Source organism: Homo sapiens, chromosome 11 (assembly GCF_000001405.40).
Source record: "Homo sapiens chromosome 11, GRCh38.p14 Primary Assembly".
In the NCBI taxonomy this organism is placed as follows: domain Eukaryota; kingdom Metazoa; phylum Chordata; class Mammalia; order Primates; family Hominidae; genus Homo; species Homo sapiens.
In genome coordinates this window covers 87,228,376-87,244,756 of record NC_000011.10, presented here as the reverse complement: position 1 = coordinate 87,244,756, position 16,381 = coordinate 87,228,376, and the positions used below count along the sequence as shown (strand labels likewise).

At 34.0% G+C, this 16,381-nt stretch overlaps 1 protein-coding gene across 5 annotated transcripts in view; it reads right to left on the bottom strand.

Annotated features, from left to right (window-relative positions):
- TMEM135 (transmembrane protein 135) overlaps window positions 1-16,381 on the bottom strand; it is a 290,891-nt gene that overhangs the window by 84,068 nt on the left and 190,442 nt on the right. For all 5 annotated transcript variants that reach the window (NR_033149.2, NM_022918.4, NM_001168724.2 and 2 more), the window contains one exon: window positions 8,073-8,119. Coding sequence is in view for 4 of the 5 variants with exons in the window: in NM_022918.4 (NP_075069.3) it covers window positions 8,073-8,119 (47 nt within the window). In the remaining variant the exon portion in view is untranslated. The remainder of the gene's footprint in view (window positions 1-8,072; window positions 8,120-16,381) is intronic.

Here is a 16,381-nt window from a genome sequence, read left to right as displayed (position 1 = left end):
ACTAATAAAGAAGAAAAGAGAGAAGAATCAAATAGATGCAATAAAAAATGATAAAGGGGATATCACCACTGATCCCACAGAAATACAAACTACCATCAGAGAATACTACAAACACCTCTACGCAAATAAACTAGAAAATGTGGAAGAAATGGATGAATTCCTCGACACATACATCCTCCCAAGACTAAACCAGGAAGAAGTTGAATATCTGAATAGACCAATAACAGGCTCTGAAATTGTGGCAATAATCAATAGCTTACCAACCAAAAAGAGTCCAGGACAGATGGATTCACAGCCGAATTCTACCAGAGGTACAAGGAGGAACTGGTACCATTCCTTCTGAAACTATTCCAATAAATAGAAAAAGAGGGAATCCTCCCTAACTCATTTTATGAGGCCAGCATCATCCTGATACCAAAGCCGGGCAGAGACACAACCAAAAAAGAGAATTTTAGACCAATATCCTTGATGAACATTGATGCAAAAATCCTCAATAAAATACTGGCAAAACGAATCCAGCAGCACATCAAAAAGCTTATCCACCATGATCAAGTGGGCTTCATCCCTGGGATGCAAGGCTGGTTCAATATACGCAAATCAATAAATGTAATCCAGCATATAAACAGAGCCAAAGACAAAAACCACATGATTATCTCAATAGATGCAGAAAAGGCCTTTGACAAAATTCAACAACTCTTCATGCTAAAAACTCTCAATAAACTAGGTATTGATGGGACGTATCTCAAAATAATAAGAGCTATCTATGACAAACCCACAGCCAATATCATACTGAATGGGCAAAAGCTGGAAGCATTACCTTTGAAAACTGGCACAAGACAGGGATGCCCTCTCTCACCACTCCTATTCAACATAGTGTTGGAAGTTCTGGCCAGGGCAATTAGGCAGGAGAATGAAATAAAGGGTATTCAATTAGGAAAAGAGGAAGTCAAATTGTCCCTGTTTTGAGATGACATGATTGTATATCTAGAAAACCCCATTGTCTCAGCCCAAAATCTCAAGCTGATAAGCAACTTCAGCAAAGTCTCAGGATACAAAATCAATGTACAAAAATCACAAGCATTCTTATACACAAATAACAGACAAACAGAGAGCCAAATCATGAGTGAACTCCCATTCACAATTGCTTCAAAGAGAATAAAATACCTAGGAATCCAACTTACAAGGGACATGAAGGACCTCTTCAAGGAGAACTACAAACCACTGCTCAAGGAAATTAAAGAGGATACAAACAAATGGAAGAACATTCCATGCTCATGGGTAGGAAGAATCAATATCGTGAAAATGGCCATACTGCCCAAGGTAATTTATAGATTCAATGCCATCCCCATCAAGCTACCAATGACTTTCTTCACAGAATTGGAAAAAACTACTTTAAAGTTCATATGGAACCAAAAAAGAGCCTGCATCACCAAGTCAATCCTAAGCCAAAAGAACAAAGCTGGAGGCATCATGCTACCTCACTTCAAACTATACTACAAGGCTACAGTAACCAAAACAGCATGGTACTGGTACCAAAACAGAGATATAGATCGATGGAACAGAACAGAGCCCTCAGAAATAACGCCGCATATCTACAACTATCTGATCTTTGACAAACCTGAGAAAAACAAGCAATGGGGAAAGGATTCCCTATTTAATAAATGGTGCTGGGAAAACTGGCTAGCCATATGTAGAAAGCTGAAACTGGATCCCTTCCTTACACCTTATACAAAAATTAATTCAAGATGGATTAAAGACTTAAACGTTAGACCTAAAACCATGAAAACCCTAGAAGAAAACCTAGGCATTACCATTCAGGACATAGGCATGGGCAAGGACTTCATGTCTAAAACACCAAAAGCAATGGCAACAAAAGCCAAAATTGACAAATGGGATCTCATTAAACTAAAGAGCTTCTGCACACCAAAAGAAACTACCATCAGAGTGAACAGGCATCCTACAAAATGGGAGAAAATTTTTGCAACCTACTCATCTGACAAAGGGCTAATATCCAGAATCTACAATGAACTCAAACAAATTTACAAGAAAAAAACAAACAACCCCATCAAAAAGTGGGCAAAGGATATCAACAGACACTTCTCAAAAGAAGACATTTATGCAGCCAAAAGACCCATGAAAAAATGCTCATCATCACTGGCCATCAGAGAAATGCAAATCAAAACCACAATGAGATACCATCTCACACCAGTTAGAATGGCCATCATTAAAAAGTCAGGAAACAACAGGTGCTGGAGAGGATGTGGAGAAATAGGAACACTTTTACACTGTTGGTGGGACTGTAAACTAGTTCAACCATTGTGGAAGTCAGTGTGGCGATTCCTCAGGGATCTAGAACTAGAAATACCATTTGACCCAGCCATCCCATTACTGGGTATATACCCAAAGGACTATAAAACATGCTGCTATAAAGACACATGCACGTGTATGTTTATTGCGGCACTATTCACAATAGCAAAGACTTAGAACCAACCCAAATGTCCGACAATGATAGACTGGATTAAGAAAATGTGGCATATATACACCATGGAATACTATGCAGCCATAAAAAATGATGAGTTCATGTCCTTTGTAGGGACATGGATGAAATTGGAAATCATCATTCTCAGTAAACTATCGCAAGGACAAAAAACCAAACACCGCATGTTCTCACTCATAGGTGGGAACTGAACAATGAGAACACATGGACACAGGAAGGGGAACATTACACTCTGGGGACTGTTGTGGGGTGGGGGGCAGGGAGAGAGCATTAGGTATATCTCCTAATGCTATACGACAAGTTAATGGGTGCAGCACATCAGCATGGCACATGTATACATATGTAACTAACCTGCACATTGTGCACATGTACCCTAAAACTTAAAGTGTAATAATAATAAATTTTTTTTTAAAAAAAAAGGCTGTCATTTGCAGCAACATGGATGGGACTCAAGGACTTTAAGTAAAATAAGCCAGGAAAACAAAGAGAAAAATCACATGTTCTCTCCCTCATTTATGAAAGCTAAAAATTAAGACAATTGAACTCATGGAGATAGACAGTAGAATACGGGTTACCAGAGGCTGGAAAAAATAGTGGTGGGGCAGGGTGGAGGGTAGTGGAGTTTGTTAATGAGTACAAAAATATAGTTAGATACAAAGAATAAGAACTACTATTTGATAGCACAACAGGGTGACTACAGTCAACAATAATTTATTGTATATTTAAAAATAACTAAGAATATAATTAGAATGTTTGTAACACAGAGACATGATAAATGCTTGAGGCAATGAATCATTTATCCTGATGTGACAGTTAGGTATGCACTGTATGCCTGTATCAAAACATCTCATGGACCCTGTAAGTATATACACCTACTATATACCTATAAAAATTAAAAATTTTAAAAATTAAAAATAAACATAGAACCGAATTAACATTAAAGACCTTTCACTTAAAAATCAGTAAATGGTTTAAACGCCAAGATCAAAAGTTTTTTATATGCTTCTAAAGTTATCTCTAATATACTAAGGTATGTTTATATAAAGATGTTCAAGAATAATCACAAGTCTTTCACTCAAGACTTGCAGGTTGTCCAGCCAATAAATAGTCTGGTTTTCTTAAATAGATAAACTAAATCTACACCTTGAGACTAATAAAATCATTTATTTATGCCTTCACAGAGAATTGATTAGAATTCTCAAATGGCAAAAAGAAATGTTTCTAAAAGTTTAAAGTATAACAATAAACTCTGACTTACACTGATTTCTAACTGAAACTGCCATGCTGCACAATGTTGACATCAGATTATTTAAGATATTTCTACTGTGAATCAGTCCCATATAGTCTATAGATTAACTGCTATGACAATTCAATCTATATGTTAAAATAAACTTGGATTTGTTGTTGCTTTTGCAAAGGGATGTGGAAAGAATTTCTAGCTGGTACTTACTAGGTTGGGATTGAAGGAGTTATAATACACTTTACAGTACTATTTTAAATTTATCTATAAAAATTATGCAAAACTACTTCTTTTCTCTCAAATATTCCCCATAGACAGATACCTAATGGTGGGTATAAAATCAATGAATTAATATTTTTAAATGTTGCATTTTTCTTTTTTATGTGTGAGTAGGGTTAAGTGCAATAGTTTTGATGTTTATTGTTGATTCTTTCTTTTGCTTCTTAATTAAAAGATTTAGTAATCAAAAGAAACTGATCTCTTTTCTACATGACTGTTGGGAAGACCCCAATCAATCCTGAATGAAAAATTATGATGAATGCAAACTGCTTTGCCCATAAATACATATTTGGAAGTAAAGAAATTATTTCAAGGGGTGCATGAGACCAAATTTTCTAAAAAGTTTTTAAATATGACTTCTGCTTGGCCAAAATCGATAGAAACAAACAATGCCCTAAGGTACAGCAATGATAATAGCATACATAATAATAATAAGGTGATTGAACAAAGGATGTAAAACTATTATGAAGAATGCCCACTAAGATTATACAAAAAGCTCTTTCAAAACATCCTCAGGATATATTTCACCTTCCCTTGTAATCCAGTTCCTAACAGAATCCATAGCATGTATGGGTATCAAGAGACACTTGTGATAGCTAGCTACATGGCTGGCAGGCCAGCTGACCAGAACAGAAGTAGAGCCCTCTCCTCGCACAGTACCTTTTGCCAGCCCAAGCCTTGAAGCATTTCACATTACACACCAGAAGTAAGTGGATGATTCCATTTGAACGTAAGCCTTACTTCTGGTGCATAATATGAAAATCTGATTATAACATATGAGATAATATATGTAAAATAACTATTAAAAAACTATTAAGAGCTATGTAAAAGGAAGTTATTTCATTACACATTATAGTTTTCACATAGTTTTCAATATCAAAAACGTGTTGCTTTTAAGTAAATTCATAGTATAGTCATCACATCTTGTGACATCTTTGGAAAATATTTATGAAACTACTTCTCAAGTTCTTTCTTTGAAAAAAAAAAAACTGGCATATTTTCTTTTTATTGAAAGCAGGCCTCATTTCCCCATTTCCCCTTTGCCCATTCACAGATTAGGATAAAAACACAAGTTGACTTATTTCAAATATAAAATTCTTCCCTATCCTCTTCTCAAAGGAGGTTACCATAAATGGAGTCCTGGGAACAATATCATTTGACTATCCAACTTCATGCAATTAGATTTAACATAATTGTTAATAAATGAAATAAATGTGTCCTCAAATATATGTATTTATAATAAAATTTAATTTTAAAATAAAATATTCAAATGCAATTGGACCTGCCAAGTGTTATGTACAATAGTGTTTGTTCATTCCCAACACAAGCTAGCATACAGACAAATCTAATATTGTTTTGTTTGGTTGTAATACTTTATAAATTGTTTGATTTTACCATTTACCAAACCTCTGTTGAGCTATTCAAACAAACTTCTGCCAAGAACAGCGAATTTGGTGATAGTACTTCTTTTAGGAGAAAAACAACCCCTTTCCTCAGAAAATTAAAAGTGTTTATTTTGGCACTTAAACCTTGTATTGAGCCTTCTGGAAAGTATTTTAAACTGTTGTTTTTAACCTAGACTTGTGACTGAAACAGGAAAAGGTTCCGTAGCTCTGCACCAAAACACATATTTATAGGGTTGATTTTCTTTCTACACCAAAAATACTGGGTTGATGGCAGCAGTTTTCAAAACATAATTTCCTAGACCCATGCTATAAATTGGGTCTTTATTGGTGTATTTAACAAATGATTTATTTTTAAACCTCAAAAACTTCTGATGACTAAGAAATGCTACACGTTAATCACATATGTCTTTAAGTGCCACAATGGGAAAGATTTTAAATACCTGTTCTGTTAGGAATTTTCACGAAAAAGAAAATTTACTTGAGATTGGACTTTCTTCTTGTGTATGTCAACAAGTTATGTTTCTAGTTTTTAAGCTTTTTACGATTGCATTTTCCCTACTGGGTATGCTATATCTTCAGGCTAGATAGAACATAAAAATATGAAGACAAACTATGTGAACTTTTTGGAATATTGTCTTAATAATGTGTCTGAATACAATTAAGAAGTTTTTAGAAATCAATGAGTCATTGTTCCTAACTCCCACAACCCACTTCTAAATTATTAAAATATAGGAAAGAGGCCACAGGAAAAGTGTATTGCATATGCAGATACAGTAAAAGTAATAAATAGATCAAACAATTTCACAAAGACAACCAGACAGCTCCAATAATTCTTCAGTCATTAATGACTGATACAAAATCCTATGCATCCCAATGACTGATACAAAATCTTTTGCAGTTCAAGTCCTCCCTACCTTGACTCGTCATCTATGTTTCCCCTTCTAAAAGCCTGGCTGTCTCTTTACAAGAATAATTACAGTAACATCATCATTTTTTATTTGCATATGACATTTTTAAAACTCAAAACAATTTAAAATTATATAATTGTGCTTTATAAAATGTTTATTAGGACATACTAGCAGGAAATTGGTGGTTTAAAAATCACATAATAGAGATTTATGATCTCTATTATGTGATCCAGCAATCCCACTGCTGGGTATATACTCAAAATAAAGCAAATCAATATATCGAAGAGATATCTGTACTCCCATGTTTGTTGCAGCACTGGTCACAATAGCAAAATTTGGAAGCAGGCTAAGTGTCCACTGACAGATGAATAAATAAATAAAATATGGTACATAATATACAATGGAGTATTATTCAGCCATAAAAAAGAATGAGATCCTGTCATTTGCAACACAGATGGAACTGGAGATCATTATGTTAAGTGAATTAAGCCAGGCACAGAAAGGAAAATGTCACATGTTCTCACTTATTTGTGGGATCTAAAAATCAAAACAATTGAACTCATGGACATAGAGAGTAGAATGATGGTTACCAGAGGGTGGTAAGAGTAGTGGGGAGCAGGGGGAGGTGGGGGTGATTAACGGGTACAGGAAAAGAAAGAATGAGACCTACTATTTGATAGCACAACAGGGTGACTATAGTCAATAATAAATTGTACATTTTTAAATAACTAAGAGTGTAAATTGGATTGTTTGTAACACAAAGGATAATAGCATCTGGTTATTATTCATCATATCCCTGTATCAAAACATCTCATGTACAACTACTATGTCCCCACAAAAATTAAAAATAAAAATTTTTTTAAAAATTCTGGTATGGTTGGATTGTTTTATTCTTAAAGAAATATATCTACCAAATATATCCTACTAAAAATCCGCAACTGTCTTTGCTAATTAAGCACAGATTTTAATTTGAAAAGCCTGGTCCTGTCTGCTAAGACTGAATTTTGCTAGATCCATAAATATATAAAAAGATCTATCCAAATGAGGGCAATAAGAGTAAAATAAATGGAAATTAATTGGTATCACTAAAAATAAAGAAATAAAGATTATAAAGGAGGGGACTCTCCCTAATCAAAAATCATTCGCACACTGCTGGGATTATACGAAGATGGCAGAAATCCCTCTTACTGGCATTTAAATCTTGGGCCATCCTAACACTCTTCCCCTTAGCCCCCAACAAACCTGAGACCAGTGTCAATGAAAAGTACAACTTTGACATTATAACAAACAATATTTTACAGACTATCATTAATGTGCTAGGTTATCCTTGCAGAAGGCTTAGATAGAGATCTACTGTCATTTTTTCTTATCCAAATGTAAAATGTTGATTGTTTTACAAGCAGAGTGAAAAACACTTAGGTATTTACATACAATCAGGTCCATAAAAGATAAAAATTCACTTATCAGGATTTGAGTCCTATTAATTGACATATTCAACTTTCTAGGATGAACTTATAAATAGAATGGGGGGTGGGGAGAATAAGTCTTCCTTCCCTCTCTTTCTCTTTTCTTAACTCACAAAGGAGCAATGATTTACCTCTGTCCACTCTGGGCGGGGGTGCGGGGGGAGTATGCTGCTTGTAAGGGATAATTATTTGGAGAATACTTTAGTTTCGTGGTTGATGAAATTACAAAGAGATACTGTTTGGGGTATTAAAGTAAATAAGTATAACAGAACATACCTGAAAAAGAACATGTACATGGCAGCTGTGATGCAAAACAAAAGGACCTGTAACAAAGAGAAAATATATTACTTGCAAAAGAACACTGACATCACCATTTGAGTGACTCATAAAAGCAAAATACTATTAAATCTTGTGCCTGAAACAATAAAAGGATATACAAACCAGTCACACACATTTCATATTCCTCAACCTTTCATATAAACGAAGCTTGTTCAACCTGCAGCCTGCAGGCTGCATGAGCCCCAAGACAGCTTTGAATGTGGTCCAACAAAATTTGTAAACTTTCTTTAAACATTGTGATTTTTTTGCAATTTTTTTTTAGTTCATCAACTATCATTAGTGTTAGTGTATTTCAAGTATGGCCCAAGACAATTTTTCTTCTTCCAATGTGGCCCAGAAAAGCTAAAAGATTGGACACCCCTAATATAGCCCATATTAGGAGAATAAATTGCAATACTTATATGTAACTATCATCATGTATATAATTATATATAATACATACATATATAGACGGGATAGAAGGGTAACAGGGTTCACAAAAAAGGGAACAGCTAATTTTTAACTGTCTGTTAGAAAGCCTAAACATGCAAGCTTAACTTAAAAACAAGGACAACAGCTTTTGTATAATCAGTTCAGTGAATAAATCAGAAAGGTTATTAACTATGATATGAAGATGACCAGATCTTCTAATGTAAAATATAGTCCAGTTGTCAACCAATTCTAATCAATAAGAAAAGCTCATAAAAATACAATATTCCTTTGTGGAATACAGACTAGCTATAAAAGTAATTCCTCTAGAAGCAGGCACAAGAACATCTGAAATGATGATCTCAAAAACATCACAGTAAACACAACATATTAAGATGGTATGTTGAAGGAACCCAGAACTCCAGTCCTGACTAACGTCTTAGTTATACCAAAAAAACAGATTAGAAAAGTTGTTTTAAATCACAAAAATTAAAATTGTAGAATGCATTCTTATGTTAAAAAACAACAGTACAAATTAAGCCTAAGAATCGTCAATGGCCTCACATCACAGACAAATAAGAAATGAACCTTCTTTCTATTGTGAAAGGGTGACCACAAGAACAGAAATGAAAACACTGCAAAAAATGTTTTGCTATTTCTAACACAAATAATTTCTAGTCAACCTGATGAAAGCATGGTAGTTTTGCCATTACAAATCAAGCTTGACAAGTTTGCTGTCTTAGCCTAAGATAAGCATTATACATACAGCCTGAATGACTTAGAAATATATAAATATACCAATGAAAAAGAGGATTGTTATCAATTAATATGAAGTAAATATTATATATATTTATGTAACATTTTATATCTATAAAATCTTTCTGTGCTAAACACACATACTCTCCTCCCCTCCCTCTTTCCCTCCTTCCTTCCTCTCTCCATCTCTCTTCTCCACTGACTTAAAACACCCTATCCATGATGCATAAGGTTCATTTTACCATTTCACTGTTTTTAGAAACATAACTTAAAGCATGTAAAATAACTTTCAGTTATTCTAATTGATTATAAATTGAAGTCTAAGTGGGTTTATTTACTGGTTATAATTTGCCTAACAAAACCCAGTCATGACACTCAATTTTTTTAAATTTCTCTATCATTCAATCCCCGTTGGACAATGTCATCCTTCCCAGATGTTCAATGCTTCAGACTTTTCCTGCACTAATCAGTGTCCCCCTTGCAGATCACACTAAAAACCTCTCTAGAAGTATCCCACAAATCTTTCACACACTCTTCATCTTCTCTAAATATCCAAAGTCTGCCTTCCCTCAAAATGTTGCCAGGTTCTATCCTAATATGCTAACCTATCTGTGTTCGTACTAAACTGATAATTATCTTTACAAATAATACACTTGAAACTGAGAAAAAGTACAATGTTTAAGAACTCAAGCTTTAGAGTAAGATAGATCTGGGTTTGAATCTTAGTTCTGGGTAACTCTAGATACTTTATATAATTTCCCTAAACCTTAGACCCCTTATCTATAAACTGAGAATAATATCATACTTCGAATTATTTAGAAGAATTAGTGAGATGATGCATATAAAAGTGGAGGCATCAGCAGATTGTTTTTATCTTGTTTTGTAACTGACATAAGTGATCTAGATAGAAAAACCTAACCCAGAGACATAAATCTGGAAAGAAATTATTTTTAATCAGGCAGCCCTTTTGAAATCTCTAATATCACCAATAATTAGGAGAATAAATCAAAAGGATATTACAGTGCAATTGACTGATTCATTAAACAAATATTTACTGAATTCCTACCACGTGCCAGGCACTGTTCTAAAACTTAGAACAATGCACAAAATGGACAAAAGTCTTTGCCCTCATGGAACTTATCTTCTAGCCAGGTGAGAGAATATATTTTTAAAAAGATGTATGTTAGACAGTAGTAGGAGTTTTGGAGATAAATAAAGTAGAATAAGAAAAAAGAAATACAGAAGACTGGGGATTGTTATTTTATACAAAGTGGTCAAAGAAGAAGAGACTTGTTAGCAGAGACACTATAAGAGAAAAGCCAGAGGACCATATGCATAGAGCCCCTGGAAGGATTTTGGATTTTATCAAGAAAGATGGGAACTTAATGCAAAATATGTTTGTTATTATTTTAGTTAAAGATGCTAAAAACAACATTTCATTTTTAGCTAAGTTTTTAAAAAGTTTTTAAAACTGTGCTAGTTTATCGTTGTGACTTTCACAAAGTATTTTTCCAAATAAATCTAAATCCACAGTTAAATAATGAAGAATATTTCCTCTGTGTTTGAAATTACAGAATTTTAGAGCTGAGATAAATTTTGAAACAAACCATCATATTTTTTCATCAGGAAACTCAGATCCTGAAAAGGTAAGTGATATGCCCATACTCACTGAGCTAGCTGTATCTTACATTCCTTCATTAAACAAATATTGGCCAAGTGGTTACTCTGTACCTGCTAGATAGGATATTTAAATATAATTCTGACCCTCAAGGACATTACAGGATACTGTAGTCCAATACTGTAGTTACTGGACACGTGTGGCTATCTAAATGATTTAATAGCTTTATTGAGGTATAATTAATATAAATTGTACATATTTAAAGTGTACAATTTCATAAGTTTCAACATAGCTATATACCTGTAAAATAATCATCATAAGCAAAATAATAAACATATTCACCCAAAAAGCTGCTTATAGCATTCTCCCATTATTTGTTGGATGGTAATTCCACCTTTCTTTGGCTTGATGTTAGCTCTCTTGTAGTTTTAACTGATTGGGGTCTTTATATTTGAAGTGCATTGCTTGTAGGCAGCATATAATAGTTTCCTGCTTTTTTATTCTATCAGAAAATCTTTGTGTCTTAATTGAGATATTTAGACTATTTACATTTAATGTGATTATTGGTATCCTTATGTTTAAATCTATCATCTTGCTATTTATTTCTCTACTTGTCTCTTACTGTTTTTTCCCCTCCTTTTTGCCCCTTTTAGATTAACTGAGTTTTTGTTCTGTTTTGCTTTGTTTTTTGAGACGGACTCTCACTCTGTCACCAGGCTAAAGTGCAGTGGTGCAATCTCGGCTCACTGCAACCTCCACCTCCCAGGTTCAAGCAATTATCCTGCTTCAGCCTCCCCAGTAGCTGGGATTACAGACATGTGTCACCACACCCAGCTAATTTTTGTATTTTTAGTAGAGATGGGGTTTCACCATGTCAGCCAGGCTGGTCTCAAACTCCTGACCTCAGGTGATCTGCCCACCTTGGCCTCTGAAAGTGCTGGGATTACAGGTATAAGCTACTGCCCCCAGTAACTGAGTATTTTTCAATAATTCCATTTTATTCCCTTTGTTGGTTTATTTTAGTGTTGGTTTTATGGTTTATAGTACACATCTCTAAATTGTCTATATTCAAATGACATTATACTACTTAACACATAGAATACAAATCTTCCAATAATGTATTTCCATTTCTGCCCTCGACCTTTGTGCTATTATTGTCATCCATAGTGCATGTATGTACAGATACATCTAAATTCATCATATTTTAATCACTTTGACTTAAAAATGTAGGTCTGCAAAAAGTTTTTTCATTTTGTTTTGAAAGATACTTTTGCTGGGTATAGAATTCTGGGTTGATGGATCATTCTGTTTCAGTGGTTTACAAATGTCACTCCATTGTCTTTTCACAATTTGTTATGATGTGCCTGGGGTAGTCTTCAAAATATTTCCTGTAGTAGGAATTATTAGGCTACTTGGATCTGTGGGTTTACAGTTTCTATTAAATTTGAGTAATTTTCAGTCATTATTTCATCATTATTTTTTCTTCTCCTTTCTCCTCTGCTTCAAGAACTCCAACTACATGAATAGGTTACCCACAACTCACAGATGTTATCTTTATTTGGTGATTAAAAAAGAAAAAACAAAACCTTGGCCAGGCGCGATGGCTCATCCCTGTAACCCCAGCACTTTGGGAGGCCAAGGTTGTCAGATCACTTGAGGTCAGGAGTTCATGACCAGTCTGTCCAACATGGCAAAACCCTGTCTCCACTAAAAATACAAAAATTAGTCAGTCATAATGGTGCATATCTGTAATTCCAGCTACTTGGGAGACTGAGACATGACAATTGCTTGAACCCAGGAAACAGAGGTTGCAGTGAGTGAGATTGCACCACTGCACTCCAGCCTGGGTGATGGAATGAGACTCTGTCTCAAAAAAAAAAAAAAAGTCTCTTTTCTCTCTATGTTTCATTTTAGATGGTCTCTATTCTTATGTCTTCAGGTTCACTAATATTTTATTCTGCAATGTATAATCTGCCATTGATACAATCCAGTAAGCTTTTCATCTCACATATTTTAATTTTCATCTCTAGAAGTTTCATTTTTCCTTTTTCCCCCTATTTCCATATCTCTAACTTTTTGAAACTATAAAATTCAGTTATGATAACTCTTTTTAATGTCTTTGCCTGCTAATTTAACATATTTATAAGTTCTCATTTGGCATTAATTTGCTGATTTATCTCTTCATTATGGCTCAAATTTTCCTATTTCTTATTGCATGGTGGTAATTTTTTACTGGCTGTCAGCCATTCTAAATTTTACCTTAATGGATGTTGTCTATGTTTGTATTCCCATAAGTTTTCTTGAGCTTTGTCGTGAGACACAGTTACTTGGAAATGGTTTGATCTTTTAAAGACTTGCTTTTAAGATATTTTAACAAGAAATGAAATCCAGGGCTAATTATTCCCCATTACTAAGGTAAAACATTATGTGTACTTTACCCAATGCCATGTGAATCTTTGAGATTTTCCAGTCTGGCTAATAAAACAGTATTCCTATTCCTGTTTGAGTGCTAACTACTCAATTAAAAACCTCTAATTCTTCAGATTGTTCCTTCTTTGGCCTGGAGCAGTTTCCTCACATGTAAGCCCTACTCAGTAATCAGCTGAGTACTTTCCTCTCTAGTCCCCTGTTCTGTGAACTCTATCCAGCATGGTCCGCCTACACTTTGAGCTTTATTTCCTCAACTCAGAAAGTCCTCTAGGTTTTGTCTGAGTGACGCCTCTTTGATCCATGCCTGGAAATTCTCTCTAGACAGTAAGCTTGGGTAACTGTAGAGCACATTTGTTTCCTATATCTCAGGGAACACTGTCCTTCAATACTTAATATCCAGGATCTTGCATACCATTTTTTCATAGACTTTGTTCATGTTTTTGATCAAGTTGCTTCCACTCTCCAACTGGAAGAGCAAATCTATCACGGGTATCAAATCATGACTGGAATCAGAGTGTGGTTATTTAAATTTAAATTAATTTAATTTTAATTAAATTAAATAATATTAAAATTTGTTTCCTCATTCACCCTAGCCATATCTCAAGTAATCAAAAGCCATATGTGGTAGTGGATACCATAACAGACAGGACAGATATAGATCATTCTCATCACTGCAAAAAGTTCTACTGGACATCTCTAGACAGTGAATGACATTTTCACTGTGTATTACAGCAATGTTTTAGCACTTTACATATTTTAACTTTAGCTGCAAAGTATACATCTGCACATATATATACTTTACACTTTCATGTGTAAATTGACACAAAAAATCAATGATCATATCATTTAATTTGTTCACTTGTAGAAACAATATAATACTACCTATTACATATGCCATAAGGATTTATATATAATGTAACATACATAAAGCCTAATAGTGTGACTAGCACCATCATAGATGCTCAATACATGGTAATTTTTAACTTGAAAAAATTTCTCTATAATTCATTACCACTTCACAGCCATGGGGCAATATACTTCAGAAGGATGAGTAATTCTGAAATTGCTGTTTTCACTTTTTTTAAAAAAAGTTTTAAATTCAAAAATTAATATCAGTCATACTAAAACATGGATGAACCTCAAATACATTAATACATTATGCTAAGTGAAAGAGGCCAATTACAAAGACCAATTATGTATGATATTCTTAATATAAAATTCCAGAACAGGCAAGTCCACCTATAGAAAGTAGAACAGTGGTGGCCTAGAGTTGGAGGAGTAAGGGGTGATGGAGAGGAACTACTAAGGGATGATGAGGAAGGACTGCTAATAGGTACAAGAATTCTTTGGGGGAAATGAAAAGGTTTTAAAATTAGATTGCAGGGTTGGATGCCACACAACTCAGTAAATATTTGAAAAACCCACGAAACTGATATATTAAACTGGTAAATCTTATAGCATATAAACTACACCTCAAAAAAGCTGTTAAACTGATACAAAAAAAGTAATGCATGTACATGATAAAAACAAAAATTCAAACAGAATAACAACAAAAAGAAAGTTCCCTTCTAAGACTTTTGGACTTTTATAGAATGTTGTATGAGTATGTACATACCTTTGTACATAGATACACATCAAATAAAGACATTGTCTTAAAGACATATACTTTTCAATTTTACATACACAAAGCATACACATATGGATATGCTGAAGTTTATTTAAAGTCTCCTATGAATCAGAGTGGATGCAATAAACATTTCTAAATACCAAAGCATACTTTGTAAACATCTCTGGAGGTGAATTCTTGTCAAAGGACAAGTACATTTTTAATTTTGACAAATATTGCCAAATTGACCTCCAAAGAAAACTATACCAATATATACTCCCCACAACAGCATATGAAAGTAGCTATTCCCTTACACTAGTTATTTTCCTATACCCATAAAAACTGTGTTTTATCAAACTGTTTTATCCTTGCCAGTCTGATGGGTGAAAGAAATATTATTTCATATTATAGTTACATCTCTCTTATTAGTGAAGCTGAGCCTCCCAGGTTTATAATCCTTTTGTTTGTTTTTTTGGTTGGCTGGTTGGTTGGTTAAACTACTTTTTCGTATGCTTTATTTTTAGTTGGGTTAATGGCCTTTTAGAAACCATTTTGTTTTTTTGAAACTGAATATATTTATATGAAAACATGGAATTTTATTATCAACAAAAATATGGATGGTTAAATAAAAGCAAACACATAAAAGAAACGTCAAAATGTATTAAGCCAATATAACATGAGGGTACAGAAAGTATAACAAATAATGTGCAAATAAAGTTCATTCAGCTGGAAAATAGTGTTTTCTCTCTGCAAAGACTTTGTAGGAAATGACAGATTTACAATATATTGTTTCCTGTTATAGGTCTTACAAAACTTTCAAGAAAAACTGTACTATTCTGTCATCACTATGTCATGTAGAATTACACGAAAACTATGCCTCACAAGCAGTAGCAAAGAAACAAAATCACAATATAGGAAGTCCTTAAAATAATCAGAAATATCAAAAATGTGAACATGACTGAAGGTAAACACAGCCTGTTAAAGAAAGCTGTTTTTACTATTTAAGCCTGCAAGTGGTTAAAACATATATCCATTTTAAATTCTACTAGAGAACTGAACACATGGTACATTTAACTATTTCCCACCACAGAACTCTTCTGCTTTTCATTAGTGTATTTGATTATTTGATTTTTGCACCTGATCACAGTGCCTGTGGCCATTCCTTCTTGAGTATCTCCAAAGACATTGGTGCTTAGTGAGTAGTGAACCTAGCTAGCCTTCACTATTCACCAAACTCATCTCCCCCCGTATTCATTAAGATCCTCTTCCTTCCATGACTCAGATAAATACTGACACTCATTGCTCTTCTCAAGAAGAGCAATACGCTTCCTCTTGCGCCGTCTGTACTTCATTCATATTTTAGACATGTTTCTACCTATCCATTCAACAAAAATTAATCTGGTGTCATGTGTTTCTAATATTTTATAA